The sequence below is a fragment of the Homo sapiens genome, chromosome 22 (assembly GCF_000001405.40).
Source record: "Homo sapiens chromosome 22, GRCh38.p14 Primary Assembly".
Classification (NCBI taxonomy): Eukaryota; Metazoa; Chordata; class Mammalia; order Primates; family Hominidae; genus Homo; species Homo sapiens.
Window position 1 is genome coordinate 39,392,558 of NC_000022.11, and position 19,324 is coordinate 39,411,881.

At 48.5% G+C, this 19,324-nt stretch overlaps 1 protein-coding gene across 2 annotated transcripts in view, besides 2 other annotated features; it reads left to right on the forward strand.

Moving 5' to 3' along the window:
• Positions 7,162-7,281: an enhancer, noted in NCBI's record as "active region_19046". NCBI's record gives its function as "activates an Ori minimal core promoter by ATAC-STARR-seq in GM12878 lymphoblastoid cells {active_cell/tissue: GM12878}" and the evidence as "EXISTENCE:reporter gene assay evidence [ECO:0000049][PMID:35858748]".
• The window catches only part of TAB1 (TGF-beta activated kinase 1 (MAP3K7) binding protein 1), a 37,353-nt gene continuing 25,251 nt past the window's right edge, over positions 7,223-19,324 (forward strand). For both annotated transcript variants that reach the window (NM_153497.3, NM_006116.3), the window contains exon 1: positions 7,223-7,278. In NM_153497.3, coding sequence (NP_705717.1) covers positions 7,246-7,278 — 33 coding nt within the window. In that variant the 5' untranslated portion in view covers positions 7,223-7,245. The remainder of the gene's footprint in view (positions 7,279-19,324) is intronic.
• Positions 7,442-7,581: a silencer, noted in NCBI's record as "silent region_13751". NCBI's record gives its function as "represses an Ori minimal core promoter by ATAC-STARR-seq in GM12878 lymphoblastoid cells {active_cell/tissue: GM12878}" and the evidence as "EXISTENCE:reporter gene assay evidence [ECO:0000049][PMID:35858748]".

Genomic DNA, 19,324 nt, shown 5'->3' on the forward strand with positions numbered 1-19,324 from the left:
GTTGTAATAACTTACTGACAAGGTTTACTGCCTGACTGCTGGCAGTACCTGTCCCAGCATTTAGGCTGTGAGCTATATTTGTGCAGATGTTACAGGCACGGGCTGTTCCATGTGGAGTCTCTTCTCCCACCATGGAGCCCGTGATGGCATGGAGCCGTGACACCCCCACCAGTTTCTTCTGCTGCTGCCACCAATCTGGGCACAGATCCTGGCCCCCACTGTCCCCACACAGCCCCACAGTGTCGCAAACTGTCCAGCCATGTGGGTGCACACAGGGTGGCCAGGCCAATTGCTAGGCAGCTCTGCTGCCCACCGCCTGTCATCCTTGCTGGTCTGAGCCTGCTGGTGCATATGCTTCTTTGTCCCACTGGACTTCCTTTATAAAACACAAGTTCAAATATAAAATGATGAAGAATTTCAAGATGGCGAAATTCAAACAGAAATCAATGCAGAGCATTCAACCAAATGCTAGGTCTATTCTGAGAGCAGGGCAATGTGCGACTGTACGGGTCCCATGCCCATGAGTGCAGTCCTGCTCAGCACACTGATTCTGGCCCCTCTCCATCTCCCCTTTATTTTATTCTGAATCTTTTTTCTTCTCCTTTTAGTCTCCTTGTCAATTAGATAGCTACACTTGACTATGGGCCTGAGCTATGCTGCGTACTTTGTAAAGCATTGTCTAGTTCACTTCTTTTCTTTTTTCTTTCCTTTTTTTTTTTTTTTTTTTGAAATGGAGTCTTGCTCTGTCACCCAGGCTGGAGTGCAGTGGCGCAATCTTGGCTCACTGCAAGCTCCGCCTCCCAGTTCACGCCATTCTCCTGCCTCAGCCTCCCAAGTAGCTGGGACTACAGGCGCCCTCCACCACACCCGGCTAATTTAGTTTTTGTATTTTTAGTAGAGACGGGGTTTCACCGTGTTAGCCAGGATGGTCTCGATCTCCTGACCTTGTGATCCGCCCACCTCGGCCTCCCAAAGTGCTGGGATGACAGGCGTGAGCTACTGCTCCCAGCCTCCTTTTCTTTTCTTTACTTTTCTTTTTTTTTTTTTTTTGGTCGTTGTTGTTGTTGTTGTTTTGAGACAGAGTCTCGCTCTGTCACCCAGGCTGGAGTACAATGGCGCAATCCAGGCTGGAGTGCAGTGGCACAGTCTCAGCTCACTGCAACCTCCGCCTCCCAGGTTCAAACGATTCTCCTGCCTCAGCCTCCCAAGTAGCTGGGATTACAGGCATGCGCCACCACGCCCAGCTAATTTTTGTATTTTTAGTAGAGACAGGGTTTTGCCATGTTGGCCAGGCTGGTTTCGAACTCCTGACCTCAGGTGATCCGCCCCCCTCGGCCTCCCAAAGTGCTGGGATGACAGGCGTGAGCCACCGCGCCCGGCCTTGTTCACTTCTTTCAACACCTGTGATAGGGGCACTAAGATGCTCCCATTTTACAGATGAGGAGCTGGGCCAGGGAGGAGAAGTGGCCCAGCACAGTTATACCGGTGCAGGGCCTGACTTGACCAGTAGTGAGTCCAGCTTTAAAACCCATGGTCTTAGCCTCTTTGCTGCCTTTTGTTAAACTATTTTTATACATTTGCGGTCACTCACATAATCCTTAAAGCTGTTTTTGATGTGAAAGTTCCCCGAGCTGTGCATGCTTCTGGATCAGCAAAGGCTTCGGCTTTGGTTACCCATCTGTTCTCTGTGCTTATCCAGCGCTGGGGTCTTCCCAAACCCTGTCCCAATTATGTGACCTAGAAATGCGACTTCAAATGTTTGAGAGATCTCATACAAAATTGAATGTGCTTTTCCTCAAGGTTTTTCAAAAGTTACATTGCTGGACGGGATGACTTACTTCTGTAATCCTAGCACTTTGGGAGGCCGAGATGGGCAGATCGCTTGAACTCGGGAGGTAGAGCTTGCAGGAAGCCAACATCACAGCACTGCACTCCAGCCTGGGTGACAGAGTGAGACCCTGTCTCAAAAAAAAAAAAAAAAAAAAAAAAAAGTTACATCAATTGAACAGTAGCAGGGATTGTGCCCTCAGTGTCAATGTGGAGGACTCCCAGGTTCATCCTCCGTCCACACTTGCTTCATTGGTGGCTCATCTGGTCTCACAGCTTTAAATATCCGCTGTATTCTGACCATTCTCAAGTGTGTACACCCACCCCCCCAGGTCAGCTACTCGTATATCCAACTGCCTTTACTCCGACATATCTGGTTGACATCTCCCATGAAGACCCCAGGGATCTGCCTTGCTACTTCTCTCATCCCATAGCTTGCCACCCTCCCCCGTGCTTCAGCCACGCTGGCCTCCTTGCTGTTCCTAGAACATACCTAGCACATTCCTGCCTCAGGGCCTTTGCACTTGCTGTTGCCTTTGCCTGAAATGCTCTCCCTGCTCCACCCCAGATCTCTGGAGGAGACCTGAAACCTTTGCAGTGGGTTCATCCCTGGTCATGCCTTTTAAAAAGGCACCCCCGACCAGGCACAGTGGCTTATATTTGTTTTTGTTTTTGTTTTGAGACGGAGTCTTGCTCTGTCGCCCAGGCTGGAGCGCAGTGGCAGGATCTCGGCTCACTGCAAGCTCCACCTCCCAGGTTCACGCCATTCTCCTGCCTCAGCCTCCCGAGTAGCTGGGACTACAGGCGCCCGCCACCATGCCCGGCTAATTTTTTGTATTTTTTAGTAGAGACGGGGTTTCGCTGTGTTAGACAGGATGGTCTCAATCTCCCGACCTCGTGATCCACCCACCTCGGCCTCCCAAAGTGCTGGGATTACAGGCGTGAGCCACCACGCCCAGCCAAGTGGCTCATATTTGTAATCCTAGCACTTTGGGAGGCCGAGGCAGTCAGATCAGTTGAGCCCGGGAGTTTGAGACCCGCCCGGGCAACATCGCAAAACCCTGTCTCTACAAAAAACAAAATGGAAAATTAGCCAGGTGTTGTGGCACACCTGTAGTCCCAGCTACTCGGGAGACTGAAGCAGGAAAATCACCTGAGCCTGGGAGGTCGAGGCTTCAGTGAGCTGTGGTTGCGTCACTGCACTCCAGCCTGGGTGACAGAGTGAGACCCTGTCTCAAAAAAAAATAAATAAATAAAGTAGCCGGGTGTGGTGTTGTGTGCATGTAATCCCAGCTACTCGGGAGGCTGAGGCAGGAGACTCACTTGAACCCAGGAGGTGGAGGTTGCGGTGAGCCGAGATCATGCCATTGCACTCCAGCCTGGACGACAAGAGCAAAACTCCATCTCAAAAAAAAAAAAAAAAAGGCAGCCCACCTCCACTTTGTTTTCCTCCATAGCACTTGTCACCACCTGACATACTTACTAGTTTATTTATTACCTATCTCTCCTCACCGAATGTGGAAGTCTCATAAGGGCAGTGTTCTTGTCCCTGCTTACCTGGCATGTACTAAGTGCTCTATTGAGGATTGTTGAATTAACGCATGAATCTTCCCACCAAATCTCCTCCTTTCTCTGTGCTCATCATCTAAGTAAAAGGCACCATCATCTACCAGTCATCCCCCTGGGTATTATCCCAGATTTGTCCCTCTTTTCAAAAACCCAAGCATACGCCAGATCTTGTTGACTTAACATCCTAAATATTTCTCAAACCATCCCTTCTGTCACTGCCTTGGTTCTCCTCTTCCATAGCAGATGCCTCAAATGCATAGAGTAACATGCTGCTTTGCACACTGTGAATGTTTCAGCATCCTCTCTGCCCCCTGCGCTCTCTGTCTACCTGCCAGGCCCAGACCTGGCCCTCCTCTAGTGGCCCTGTCTCGGCAGATCCTCCACCACTGGGCCGACGGCCTGGGCCAGGAACCTGGGAGTCATCTTCCACTCCCCTTTCTTCCGCTTCCAATCAACTGCCAGAGTCTTTCTACTTGACCTATTTGGATATTTTTGAAAACTGTCCATTTCTTTTATCCTCATGGCCACCATCCTGGTCCCGGCCACCTCCTTCCTTCTCTTATCTGGGTTATCCCAGCAGGCTCCTAATACTGGTCTCCCTGCTTCCTGTCTGACTCAGTGGGATCCCTCTGAAACACAAATATGATCATGTGACTCTCCCACTTAAATGAGTCCCTACCCTTACAAGATAAAGCCAATTGCTTCTGTTGCACCCATATCCCTCCCTGATTTGTTCTCCTCAGCTCGGCCACAGTCAATTTCTGCCTTTGCCAGTTCCCCCCTCACTTTGACCATGCGATCCCTTGGCCTGAGATGCGCTTTCTATCTTCTCTGCTCAATCCCTCTGCCCTCCCAGACCCAGCTGGAAGGTCACCTCCCCTGTGAAGTCTTCCCTGACTCCCCCAGCAGAATTAACTGCCCCCTCTCTTGGGCTTCTGGCTCCACTCAGTTTGTCACAGGCCTGATGAGCAAGGATATCTTGATAAAGGTGATAACTGGCCGAAAAGCAGTTGGGGCGCCCAATGGCGCAGCCTTCAGAAGCACCTTCTGTGTTTTTGGAACTGTTGGCAGCATCCCAAGGTGAAATGGTAGAAGCATATGGCATGATCATGGGGAAATGGGTCTGGGGAAGGGAAGAGAAGCCACATATTTGGAGCAGATTCTGTTCCTGTTCTAAAGGCTTGGAAGATGTTACTTTATTGAATCCTTGTAACATCCCTGGGAGGCAGGGGTTTTAAAAACAAAGACAGTGGTGGCCGGGCGCGGTGGCTCATGCCTGTAATCCCAGCACTTTGGGAGGCCAAGCAGGGAGAATCTTTTTTTTTTTTTTTTTTTTTTTTTGAGACAGAGTCTAACTCTGTTGCTAGGCTGGAGTGCACTGGCGTGATCTCGGCTCACTGCAACCTCCGCCTCCTAGGTTCAAGCAATTCTCCTGCCTCGGCCTCCCGAGTAGCTGTGATTATAGCCACACACTGCCATGTCCATCTAATTTTTTTTTTTTTTGAGACAGAGTCTCACTCTGTCGCCCAGGCTGGAGTACGGTGGCGCGATCTTGGCTCACTGCAACCTCCGCCTCCCGGGTTCAAGCGATTCTCCTGCCTCAGCCTCCCAAGTAGCTGAGACTATAGGCACATGCCACCACACCCGGCTAATTTTTTGTATTTTTAGTAGAGACGAGGTTTCACCATGTTGGCCAAGATGGTCTTGATCTCCTGACCTCGTGATCCACCCACCTCGGCCTCCCAAAGTGCTGGGATTACAGGCATGAGCCACCGCGCCCAGCTCGGGAGGATCTTTTGAGCTCAGGCGTTTGACACCAGCCTGGGCAACATGGTGATAGCCTGTCTCTACAAGAATACAAAAATTAGCCGGGCGCAGTGGCACATGCTGTAGTCCCAGCTACCCGGGAGACTGAGGTGGGAGAATCACTTGAGCCCAGAAGCTTGAGGCTGCAATGAGCCATGATTGTGCCACCGCACTCCAGCCTGGACAACACAGTGAGAACCTGTTTTTTTTTTTTTTTTAAATGGTGGGGGTCAGGGAGAGATGGCTTGCAAATGAATGTTTGTTTAATTTTATAAAAAGCAGGCAGGTGCCAGGTGCAATGGCTCACGCCTGTAATCTCGGCACTTTGGGAGGCGAAGGCAGGTGGATCACCTGAGGTCGGGAGTTCAAGACCAGCCTGACCAACATGGAGAAACCCCATCGCTACTAAAAATACAAAATTAGCCAGACGTGGTGGCGCATGCCTGTAATCCCAGCTACTTGGGAGGTTGAGGCAGGAGAATCGCTTGAACCTGGGAGTCAAACATCTCTCTACCAATGGGACCCTGTCAATGGCTTGCTTAGAAGGCAACAACTTCCCTCTGTCCTCCAGATGAATAAACTCCTGCCTGGGGCCCACTTGGTCAGAGCCTGTCCCTACAACCCCTTCATCTCTCTCCTCCAACTCTGTGCAAGCCACAGTGGGCTCCCGTGACAAGTGTGCTTTTTTTTTTTTTTTTTTTAAGACAGAGTCTCACTCTGTTGCCCAGGTTGGAGTGCAGTGGAGTGATCTCAGCTCACTCACTGCAACCTCCACCTCCCAGGTTCGTGATTCTCCTGCTTCAGCCTCCCAAGTAGCTGGGATTACAGGCGTGCACCACCATGCCTGGCTAATTTTTTGTAGTTTTAGTAGAGATGGGGTTTCACCATGTTGGCTGGACTGATCTCGAACTCCTGACCTCAGGTGATCCACCGGCCTCGGCCTCCCAAAGTGCTGGGATTACAGGCATGAGCCACCGCGCCTGCCCCCGGCAGAATGTCTTATATACATAAATGTTGTCCTCTCCAATTAAAATGTTAACATTTTAGGTTGGGCGGGGTGGCTCACACTTGTAATCCCAGCACTTTGGGAGGCCCAGGCAGAAGAATCGTTTTAGGCCAGGAGTTTGAGACCAGCCTGGCCAACATAGCGGTACTCCGTCTCTACAAAAAATGTAAAAGATTAGCTGGGCGTGGTGGCGGGCGCCTGTAACCCCAGCTACTCGGGAGGCTGAGGCAGGAGAATCGCTTCAACCCGGGAGGCAGAGGTTGCAGTGAGTCCAGATCACGCCACTGCATTCCAGCCTGGGCGACAGAGCAAGCCTCCGTCTCAAAAATAACATAACATAACATAACATAAAATAATAATAAAATGAAATGAAATAAAATAAAATAAAATGTTAGCTTTTTGAAGGCCTGTCCTGCTCGCTGCAGAACCCACTATAGAGCCAAGCAGGGTCACCTAGGTAGCATTTGCTGAGTGAATGAATTGTCCTCCCCTTACCAACTGTGTTCACAAAGAACCCTCAGGAGTTCAAGACCAGCCTGGCCAACATGGCGAAACCCCGTTTCTACTAAAAATACAAAAATTAGCCGGGCGTGGTGGCTCATGCCTGTAGTCCCGGCTACTCCGGAGGCTGGGGCAGGAGAGGCGGGCACCTGTAATCCCAGCTACTCGGGAAGCTGAGGAAGGAGAATCGCTTGAGGCCGGAAGGCAGAGGTTGCAGGGAGCTGTGATCGCGCCACTGCACTCCAGCCTGGGTGACAGAGTGAGACCCTATCTCAAAAAATAATAAAGATGGGCGAGGAGCAATCGGCCCCGAGGAAAAGACAAAACAAAACAACAACAACAACAACAACAACAAAACGTGCAAGAGCGCGCCTGCGCACACGGTCCGCTACGACCCCCATCCCTCTTCGGGCGTGGGGTGGCGCTGGGCGCATGCTCCCCGGCAGCGCGGTCATCCTCGCCTCCTTCGGGCCGCTCTAGCCGCCCCACTCGCTGCTCTGCGGGGAGGCGGGCGCTCCCGCAGGGGTTCCTCCAAGATGGCGGCGCAGAGGAGGAGCTTGCTGCAGAGTGTGAGGAACAGGCCCGCTCTCTGGGCTTGGGGTTGGGAGCCTGGGCGGGGGTGCTGTCGGGTGCAGGAACGGCTCCTTCTCCGAGTTTGGACAGCCACCCTCTCCGTGGTGGGGTGTGTCAGCCACCTTCTCCTCTCCTCGGGCTGGCCCCCTCGTTCCCGAGGCCAGGGCGTGTGTGCGCGGCGGGCCCGGCCCCCGGGTCAAGGGCGCCGGGGCTGTGGGCTGCTGCTGCCGGGCGTCGAGGGCGGGAGCGTCCTGGAGCCAGAAGGGAACACGGCGGGCGGCAGCAGAGCTATCCGAGTCTCGAGCCCACTGCGACACCGAGCAGACGTGCAATGATAATAACAGCAGCATCCACAGTGTACCGCTTACTGCATCCCCGGCGTTGTGTTAATTGCTTTACATTTGTCAGTTTCATTTTCGTAGCAGCCCCCTGAGATAGGTGCTACTGTTATTCCTATTTGACAGACTGAGACACTGAGGTGGTCGTTTGCCTAAGGCCACACAAATGGTACGTATTGAGGCAGGATTAAAATCAGGCAGTGTGATTCCAGAAACCCCCTTAACCCCTGGGCTGTACTAAAGGAATGACCAGTGGTAGCTGTCACTGGGTTCTGGTCCTGGCTCTGACTGTGTCTCCCTCAGCCTCAGTTTCCTTCTCCTAAGGCGAGAGCGCTGAGTGGAAGAATTGTCTTCAGACTCATCCCTACCCCCGGTCTGGACCCTCATGGGTTTGGCGCTGTCTTCCAGGCCCTGCGTCCTCTGACGCGTATGTGCACATAGATGCACACACATGTTGGCACCATGGACTACTCTGACCTACCAGGGTAGGGTGCTGGCCTCCTGGGTCCTTCCTATGCATGGCACTGTTAGAATTGTCTATGGACTTGTCTGCCTCCTGTACTAGAAAGTAAACTCCGCCGGGCGCGGTGGCTCATGCCTGTAATCCCAGAACTATGGGAGGCTGAGGCGGGTGGATCACGAGGTCAGGAGATCAAGACCATCCTGGCCAACATGGTGAAACCCCGTCTTTACTAAAAATACAAAAATTAGCCGAGCGTGGTGGGGGCGCCTGTAGTCCCAACTATTCGGGAGGCTGAGGCAGGAGAATTAGCTTGAACACAGGAGGCGGAGCTTGCAGCGAGCCAAGATCGGGCCACTGCACTCCAGCCTGGAGCGACAGAGCGAGACTGTGTCTCAAAAAAAAAAAAAAAAAAAAAACGAAAGTAAACTCCTTGAGGACAGGGACCTGTGATCTCTTGTTTACCGCTGTGTCTCTATTATCTATCACCATGTGCTGGGCACTCAATAAATACATTTGTGAAAGGATGAGTAAAGGTTTGTAGCCAGGTCCAGTGCTCGCCCTTGGCGTCACAGAGGTGAGTAGACATTGGCTCAGGGATAACCTGGAACCAGAGCCTTGAAATTATTCTCCCAGGAGCACAGTTCCCAGGCCTCCCCAGTGGGGATTGCTGTCTTCCCCTCCACACCTTTACTACTCCTTTATTTTATTACTGCTGGGCACGTCTGTCTTGTTACCGAGTTGGCATTGATTTTAGACGGCTGGCCCTCTGCTTTGTAAGTTCCCAGAGGGCAAGGTCCCTGTATAACTGTCCCCACTCTAGTTAGCATTTGGGAAACGCTGGTTGGATTGTGACATTGGGAGGGAAAATTGTAAATGGTGCAGGCTGAGTTGGCTTGCTGAGAAGAGAGCAGCCACCTGGGTCATGTAGAGTAGGTGGCTGCCAGCTTCTCCCCTTCCTAGATGTGATGGAACCAAAGGGAATTGTGTTAGGCAGAAGGCCAGCTCTACTAGCCCCAGAATGTGTTTCTCCAGGTGGTGGTGGCCTTTTTTAAAGCAAGAATAGTTAGCTTTAAACACATTGCATCTTGGTGCGTGGCAAAGGGATGGCAGGGATGTCATCAGAAGGCCCCTCCGCCCTCATGATGATCAGGACATCCCTCTCACAGGTTGTATGGATGTCCAGGTGGTGTGTAGGGCTTGCTGATGTCACATCCACTGTCTCAAGTCTGGGGAGAACAACTCAGCTCAGACACCTGCATTCAGAGATGGCTGTGAGGGCTGCTGGTCTGTGGCTACTGGGCAAATATGAATGAGGCGTGGTGCCCACCCTCACTGCGTTTGTAGATCAGCTTGGGAGGAGCATATGCCACTGATACAATACCTGGGGCACTGTCTTGTTATTGTAGACCTGTGTCAAGAGCCCTGGGCAGACAGCAGAGAATTTTAGAGGCTTTAAAGGATGAGAGGAGTTTGCCAAGCAGAGGAGAGGAGGGCCATTCCAGGAGGATGTGTATGTGTGTTTTCTTGACACGTGTGTTTTTGTTTTCATTTTTCTTCCTAGAGATGGGGTTTCGCCATGTTGCCCAGGCTGGTCTAGAATCCTGGGTTCAAGCAATCCTCCTGCCTTCGCCTCCCAAAGTGCTGGGATTACAGGCATGAGCCACCGCATCTGGCTAAGGACAGGTGTTTAAATATGTGTGCATGTGTTTGTTAAGCTTTTCACAAGTTAAGTACAATTAGTACTACAAGTCTATGTGTTGAGGGGCTGCAGAGTGGCCTGATTGGTCTGGGTCAGTGGAGGTTTGCAGGAATGGCATTTGCAAGGGTATGCTGGGGCCACTTGGTAGATCACTTGGTGGGAGCATCATTGCAGGCACTGTGGTACCTTGAAAGGTCTTTTGAAGCAAAAAGCTTTTTTGTGGGTGTATGGGGAAGACAGGATCTCACTGTCACCCAGACTGGAGTGAAGCGGTGTGATCTCGGCTCACTGCAACCTCTGCTTCGTGGGTTCAAGTGATTCTTGTGCCTCAGCCTCCCAAGTAGCTGGGATTACAGGTGTGCACCACCACACCAGCTAACTTTCATATTTTTAGTAGAGACAGGGTTTCACCACGTTGCCTAGGCTGGTCATGAACTCCTGGCCTCAAGCAATCCGCCTGCCTGGGCCTCCCAAAGTGCTAGGATTACAGGTGTGAGCCACTGTGCCCGGCCACAAAGAGGTTCTAAGGAGAGCTTGATGTGTTCAAAAGGACCCAGACCTTTCAGCCGGATAAAACAGTGTTAGTCTCATACTGGCTTTGGGCAAATCACTTTATGTCCCTGAGCCTTAGTTTCTCCAAACCAAGAGGACTCTGGGGAGTATTGTTGGTGTTAAAGGAACTGACACATTCCACTACTAGCCTGGCTTGGTTGCCCGCTAACCAGAAACTTCTACCTTCAGTGCTGCCGTGAGTGAATGCTGTTCATTCCCTTAAATGTCCCTGAGCACTCACTATGTGCTAGGCACCCTGCAGGTGCAGGAGACACCGCCTTTGTGGAGCTGATGGTCTAGTAAAGGGGACAGACAGTGAGCACCGAACAGATACAGATCATCTGTGATTTTGTAATATCCAAACTACAGCATCAGGTGGTGCTATGAGGAACAGTCTAGATTCACACACAGAATGTTGGGGGTGCCATTTTGGACAGGGTGGTAAGGGAAGACTTCTCCACATTTGATGAGATGAAAACGGGGAAATGGGGGCAGCATTCCTGCCCAAGGGAGCAGGAGATGCAAAGGCTGCTGTTTCAGGAGCCTCAGGGGTGCTGGTGCAGCTGGGTGGAGTGCCTTGGGGGAGCTTGGGAGTAGCTGAGGTCTGAGGGAGCCGGGGGCCATGCTGGGCTTCACAGGTCCTGATGTGGCCTCTGGATTCCATTCTTCATGTGATGTGAAGCTTTCATGGGGAGCAGATTGAGTAGGGACCTGATGTGATGTGACTTTTGATTGGAGAAAAATCCCTCTTTTTTTTTTTTTTTTGAGACGGAGTCTCGCTCTGTTGCCCAGGCTGGAGTGCAGTGGCGCAATCTCAGCTCACTGCAAGCTCCGCCTCCCAGGTTCACGCCATTCTCCTGCCTCAGCCTCCCAAGTAGCTGGGACTACAGGCACCCACCACCACACCCAGCTAACTTTTTGTATTTTTTTTTTTAGTAGAGACGGGGTTTCACCGTGTTAGCCAGGATGGTCTCGATCTCCTGACCTCGTGATCTGCCAGCCTCGGCCTCCCAAAGTGCTGGGATTACAGGCGTGAGCCACCGTGCCCGGCCGAAAAATCCCTCTTTTGAGTTTGAGTGGTGAGAGTGGAAGCCTGGGACCTCCTAAGAGACTCCTAGAGTCATCCAGGTGCGAGAAGGTGTCTTGGCCATGGGGATGGCAGAAGAATGGTGGGAAGTATCAGATTCCAGTTGTGTTTTGGAGGAAGAGCTCATGTGATTTGCTGATGGATTGAATGTGAGGTGTGTGACAGAGGAAGAAGAGTCAAAAAGGACTCTTAAGGTTTTGGTTTAAACAACAGTGGTGCCATTTACGGGGTGAGGGAGCCCTGGAAGAGGGGCACCCTGGGGCAGGGGGAATCAAGAGTTTGATTTTGCCTGTACTGTTACTTAATTATAAAAAAGAAAATCAGGCTAGGCATGGTGGCTCATGCCTGGAATCCCAGCCCTTTGGGAGGCTGAGGCAGGAGGATCACTTGAGGCCAGGAGTTCCAGATCAGCTCGGGCAACATAGTGAGATTCAGTCTTTAAAAAAATTAGTGAGGCATGGTGGTATGTGCCTGTAGTACTTAGGAGACTTAATGGGGTGATTGCCTGAGCCCAGAAGTTTGAGGTTGTAGTGAGGCTATGATCCCCTCACTGCACTCCAGGCTGGGTGACACAGCAAGACCTGTTTAAAAAAAAAAAAAGAAAGTAAGCTTAAAATCAATTTTTTAAACTTCGACATGTCCTGAGCAATTATATCTGAGATCATAGGTGCTGCTATCTGTGTAATTTATCTAAAGGATGTTAAAATAAATACATAGCCACTAAAATAAAAAGGTCCATGGGGGTACCACCTATACCCATTGCATACACCCAGCTGCTGCCCTAGCACATTGGAAGTGCCAACAATGATTATTAGCCCCTTTAAGAATGAATGAGGAGCTCTTTAGGATGACGACATGGAGAACCTTCAATGAAAACTCCGGTGGGAGAAGTGGGGGCCAGGAGTGGAGCTGGTCTCAGAGAAGTGGGTCATCCGGAAGGTTGGAGGTGGTGGGGGCATTGGGGCCTTGGAAGCTTTTTGGAGAGAAAGGTCTGCTGCTCCCCTGCTCCGAGCCCTCTTCCTGGGGTTGTGAGTCTCCCTTTCTGAGCTTCCTTTTTGCTTCTAAGGAATGTGGGTGCTTTTACCACAAAAACACTTGGCCTTTTCATAGCATAATTTGGTATTCAAGCTGTGGCCTGAGCTTGGAACCATTCTTTGTCCATTTCTGCTGCCCAGGACTTTGAGATGAGTCTGTGTGGGTACTTTGTGAACTATTATGTGACATGGACACATATATACATGAGGAGTGAATGCTTACATCATGCACAGGGTGTTTGTAAAGGCCTTGTTGGGTTAAATACTGTTGGATCACTGTAGAAGCTTTTCATACCGAAACATTAATTTTGGAAACTCCTTCACAAAATCAAATCAAAATTAGGTCTTTTGAAACAGGCTTCTTAACGTATTCTTGTGAAATTTCTCATGAGCAGTTCATTTCTCAGACATGGAAGAGTTAAGTCCTGCGTTCGCTGTTGTGTGTGTTGCAGTGGCTCCGCGATGAGGCTGTGCTGAGTGAGAGACGCCCCCTTCTCAGCTTCTCGCAGACTCTTGCTCCCTGCGCTCCAGCGCCGCTCACGGCTGGTGCTGGCAGGCCTGGCATTTGGGGGCGTGGGAGAAAGTATGCATCAGTGTGTGCAGGGGTGGAGGGGTGGGTGGTTTGTGTGAATAGAAAGTACATGACCTTTCTGAAAATTGTTCAGAAATGTGGAGGAAGGAAGCGAGAGACTTGGCAGTCCTGTAGGCTTTAATGGAATCAGCAATGGACGCTCGGTATGGCTAATCCTCGATGGAGATGGAAAGGGACGGGAGAACACGATCCAAGCCTACTCAGCTGCAGCAGCGTGAGTCCGCTGGGGAACACGGAGAAGACCAGATACTCTCACTCCCACTTGGTAGAACCTCCTGAGGTTCTCCGGCCACTGTAGTGAACCAGTGTCTGGCGAGCGCCCGAATTACGTGAGAAACTGCCCATGTGTCATTGGATCTAAGACACCAATGTTTTAAGGACACGTCAGTGTTTTGTCTATTGCTCAGAAAGAGAACTCACAGCTAATTAACTTGTAACATACCAACTCCAGAGACGTTAACATGTGGAAAATGTAGGTCTTCAAATCAGTGAAATAAGGTAATCTAATTAACAATACCAGGCTATAGCACAATGGTTGCCACAGGGCCACTTTGGGAGGCCAAGGCGTGTGGATCACAAGGTCAGGAGTTCAAGACCAGCCTGGCCAAGATGGTGAAACCACGTCTCTACTAAAAATACAAAAAATTAGCCGGGCATGGTGGCACGCACCTGTAATCCCAGCTACTCCAGAGGCTGAGGCAGAGAATTGCTTAAACCTGGAGGGGCAGAGCTTGCAGTGAGCCAAGATCGCGCCACTGCACTCCAGCCTGGGCGACAGAGTGAGACTGTCACCAAAAAAAAAAAAAAAAAAAAAGGAATCATTTGAGTGAAAGATAGTTTCTTGAAGATGGTCAGTGGATGATTGAGGTTTGGGAATCATGGGCCTCTGGCCCTAGTTGGATTTGAGCAGTGCCTTTAGGGTAGATAGGACTTAAAAAGACAGAAAGGGACAGGCTTTGCCTTACCATGGGTACTTTTACATATGCTCTTTGGGTAATTTTTTTCTTACTCTTTCTTTATTTTTTTTTAATTTATTTTTTATTTTTGAGACGGAGTCTTGCTGTGTCGCCCAGGCTGGAGTGCAGTGGCGCCATCTCGGCTCACTGCAAGCTCTGCCTCCCGGGTTCACACCATTCTCCTGCCTCCGCCTCTGGAGTAGCTGGGACTACAGGCACCCACCACCACGCCCACCTAATTTTTTTGTATTTTTAGTAGAGACGGGGTTTCACCGTGTTAGCCAGGATGGTCTCAATCTCTTGACCTCATGATCTGCCCGCCTTGGCCTCCCAAAGTGCTGGGATTACAGGCGTGAGCCACTGCGCCCGGCCTCTGGTCACAGTTTTTTAGAGATTGTTTGGAACAGTGAGTAGAAGGCCTTGTCTGTACAAGATACACAGCTGAGTGAGATTGTTAATCTGTCAAAGGGCAAAATTCAAAACTTTCGACAGTCTGGAAGGCTGGGATGAATGCATTAAGATGTAATTCGACTGATATAAATTTAGATTTAAAACAACCTTCTATAGTAGTTTGGCTGGGGGAGACAGACATGGTAGAAACTCACAGGAAAAGGACTTTGTTATTTTACATTACATAGAGGCTAGATGCTCATCTTCTCTTGGGTATATGAAAGCTGTTGATTTGCATACTTTGATTTTCTATCCTGCCGCCTAACTGATTTCTTTTTCTGTTTGCATTAGTTTTTCATTGATTCTTTAGGGTTGCCAGGCGTACTGTCCTATCAACTGCAAATAGAAATGACTTCTTTCCCGGTTTTTATGCTCTCATTCTTTACTCTGTCTAACTGCCTGGGCTAACACCTCCAGTTCTGTGTGAAGTAATAGAGTGGGCAGCCTTGCTATGGCCCTGATCATTTGTTGTTGTTTTGTTTTTTTTTTTTGAGAGGGAGCCTCACTCTGTCTCCCAGGCTGGAGTGCAGTGGCGTGATCTCGGCTCACTGCACGCTCTGCCTCCCGGGTTCCAGCGATTCTCCTTCCTCAGCTTCCCGATAGTAGATGGGACTACAGGCGTCTGCCACCACGCCCGGCTAATTTTTTGTATTTTTAGTAGAGACGGGGTTTTGCTGTGTTAGCCAGGATGGTCTCGATCTCCTGACCTCGTGATTCGCCGGTCTCGGCCTCCTAAAGTGCTCAGATTGCAGGTGTGAGCCACCGTGCCCAGCCTAATTTTTTGTATTTTTAGTAGAGACGGGTTTTCACCATGTTAGCCAGGATGGTCTCAATCTCTTGACCTCGTGATCTGCCCGCCTCAGCCTCCCAAGGTGCTGGGATTACAGATGTGGGCCACCATGCCCAGCCCTATGGCCCTGATCTTAATGAAGTGTTCCCCACTGAGTAAGTTGCCAGCATTAGGGCTGAAGTATACAGAGTAGCATGTTCAGAAAGGAGCCATCAGTTTCTGTTTTCTGGAGTGTTTTTACCAAGAATGGACCAAGACTCCTTAGATAAACAATAGCACTAGTGTCCATACTTACTGACCCAAACACCATTTGCCAGTTTATAAAATAATAAATTCCAGAAATATTACTGCCTCAACATTATGAAAATCAGATTTCCTAAAAAAGTACTTAGCAGTGTTGAAATATCTAGACACTATTCACGGGTACTTAATGAACAAGGCACGTGCTCAGTAGATTGATTGCCGTCAGACACACAGTTTTTCTCATTTGGGAAAGTTAGTTATTCCCACATCAGCCAAATACAGCACAGCATACAGTGGTCAGTAGATCATCAGCTTACTCCTGGTCTCCTGTTGTGAAACGCTCTCAGATGAATTGTTCTTGTGCCATGACACACCAACGTGGCAAGTTCCTCAGTTGCCTGTTTGAGCTTGTTTCTTTCTTTACTTGTGGAAGACAATTTCACTGGCGTTTTTTGTTTTTGTTTTTGTTTTTTGAGACGGAGTCTCGCTCTGTCATCCAGGCTGGAGTGCAGTGGCGTGTGCGATCTCGGCTCTCTGCAACCTCCACCTCCTGGGTTCAAGCAATTCTTCTGCCTCAGCCTTCCGAGTAGCTGAGACTACAGGCGCTTGCCACCACACCCGGTTAATTTTTGTATTTTTAGTAGAGACAGGGTTTCACCATATTGGCCAGGCTGGTCTTGAACTCCTGACTTGGTGATCCACCCACCTCGGCCTCCCAAAGTGCTGGGATTACAGGATTGATCCACCGTGCCTGGCCTCACTGGCCTTTTTTAATAGTGTATGTCTAATGTGGAACAGACCCATAAGTTGCTTGGGTCTTATTTATTTGGCTGGGAAACTATGGATTTTTTTAGAAAGATTCAAGTCCTTGGAAGCCTGTGTCTGTCCCTTATGGGAATTAGATACTGGCAGAGGAGGTAACTGTGATTACAGCATCGAAGACAGGTTTTGCATTGTGGTGACACATTTGTGTTAATATTATTCATCTCATATGAGAGGATGAGTTCATCTTAATCTCATTTTTAATCACAGCCTTCTAGAAAATAGAAATATCTTTTCCTCCCATGCTTTAAAACACCTGTGGCACTTTGGGGTGCTAAATATTGACTTCTTTGGCCATCTTTTCAGGAGGAAGACATGGGATACTCCTGACTGGGTAGATGCTTTTGTATTTCTGCTTAACCTCATAATTAATTTCATTCCAGCTGGTGGCAGGAGACAGACTAGAAAAGGAGCTACCTTTGGAAGTATATTTGCCTGGTTATAGGAGACTTTTGTGAGCTCGCTGGAAATGAAAATATACTAAGCAGATCTAAGACATAGGGGATAATTGGCAACATTTATCAGTTACCTGAAGAATACTTAATTCACTGGTTATTAACTCATTCCCATGGCCCAGAGGCCTTGCACTGCCCTCCCCCCCAGGCACATACGTGCACACATATTTGCAAACACGGCATGGAGCGTCTTTCCCCTGTGCTCACTAGAGAGGCCACACCAGCCTTCTCGTGCTTCCGTAAACCTGACATGCTTTTTTCCATCTTAGGGTCTTTTTACGTTCCGCTCCCTCTGCCTGGAAGCCTCCTTCTCTGCCTTCTAGAAGGTCACTGCCCCATAGTCATTCAGGTCTGGCTCAGACGTCACCTCCCCAGAGAGGTCTGCTTTTCTGACCACTTCATCTAGAGGCCCCCACCGCCCATCACGCTGTGTCCCATTACCATGGTGTGTTTTCTTCCTAGCACGTAGCGCTGTCTGAGATTGCCTTATTATTGTATTGTGTGTTTGAATTCTCTCTCTCCCTAGAAGGGAGGCTTCAAATAAGGAGCCTCTCTGTTTTCTCTTCTGTGTCCGCAGTACCCAGAATACTGCCAGACTGTTGCAAATGCTCAGCAGATATTTATTGAAAGAATGTATGTAGTGATTTAATGTACTGTAATCACATAATATCATATGTGGGTCCGGAAGACCTAAGTTCCCATTTATGTTAAGAGAGGCATTAATTTTGCTTTAAAATGAAACAGTTCAAGATTAGAACTAGACCCAATTTTGTGTTACTGTGAAGCCGTTTTTCTTCTTCTTTTTGAGACTGAGTCTCACTCTGTCATCCAGGCTGGAGTGCAGTGGTGTGATCTCAGCTCACTGCAACCTCCACCTCCTGCATTCAAGTGATTCTCCTGCCTCAGCCTCCTGAGTAGTTGGAATTACAGGTGCGCACCACCACGCCTGGCTAATTTTTGTATTTTTAGTAGAGACAGGATTTTGCCACATTGCCCAGGCTAGTCTCAAACTCCTGACCTCAAGTGATCCACCTGCCTCAGCCTCCCCAAGTGCTGGGATTACAGGCGTGAGCCACTGTGCCAGGTCAGCAGTTTTTCTTTTGGCGTTGCTTGTACTGAAAGTGTTAAATTTAAGCCTGGTGTCATGAGGAGCTGAGCAGAATTGTTGCCATTTCTACTTTTTTTTTTTTTTAATTTAGTTGTGACATACTTGGCTCAGCTAGCACTTACTGCCATTTCATCTTCCTTTTTTTTTTCATTTCCATTAGTAGGGTTTGGTTATACTGTCTATTTTCAAAGGCTATTAGAAGGCGTTAGTAGCTTTTCAGACCTTGTAGTAAAATTGTGTTAATAAAAATAAATAAATAAAAGTCACCCAGTGAAGACATAAATAAGTGTAGAGACACACCATGTTAATGGATTAGAAGACTCAACATAGTGACAATGTCTACTTTCCCCAAATTGATCTGTAGATTTAAAGCAGTTCCAATAAAAATCCCAACAAGACTTGTGGATATAAGTAAGCTGATTCTAAAATTTATATGAAAAGGCAAAGGAACTCAAATAGCCAAAACAATTTTGAAAAAGAGCAAGAAGATAAGGAGACTCACACTAGCCAATTTAAAGACTTACTATAAAGCTACAGTAATCAAGAATGTAGTATTGGTGGAGGGGTAGACACATCGATCACAGGAACAGAATAGAGTCTAGAAGTAGACCCACACAATTCAATGGAGAAAAGCTAGTCTTTTCAACAAATGGTGTTGGAATGATTGGATATTGGAATGAAAAAAAAAATGGACCTAAACCTCCTTCCTACCTTACACAGAAATTAATTCAAAATGGATCACAGATCTAAATGTAAAATATAAAACTATAAAACTTTTAGAAAAAAACATAGGTGCTCTTTGTAACTTGGGACTGGACAGAGAGTTCTTAAACATGACTCCAAAAGCATGAACCATGAAAGAGAAAAAATGGATTAAATGGACTTCATCTAAACTAAAACCTTTGCTCTGCAAAAGACACTACTGAGTGAAATGCTAAGTTACAAATAAAAAGAACTCTCAGAACACAATAGTTAAGAAAATAACCTAATTTAAAAATAGGCAAAAAACTTGCACTTCACCAAAGAGGATGAGTTGGTGCCAAATAAACACGTGAAAGATACTCAGTGTCGTTAGCCGTTAGGAAGTGCAGATTAAAGTCACGATGAGCTACCACTACCCACCTCTTAGAATATCTAAATTCAGAAAAAGACAATACCACATGGTGGCAAGGACGTGGAGCAGCCGGAACTCAACATTGGAAATGCAAATGGTTCAGCTGCTCTGGAAAACAGTTTGGCAGGTTCTTATAAAGTTAAACATATACTTACCATATGAGCCAGCCCTGTCACTCCTAGGTATTTACCCTGGATAAATGAAAAGTTACATTCATACAAAAACCTGTACATGAATGTTTATAGCATATTTCTTCATAGTTATAAGAAACGAAACAGCCCAAATGTCCTTCAGTGGATGAATGGATAAACAAACTTTACTACATCCGAACAATGGTAT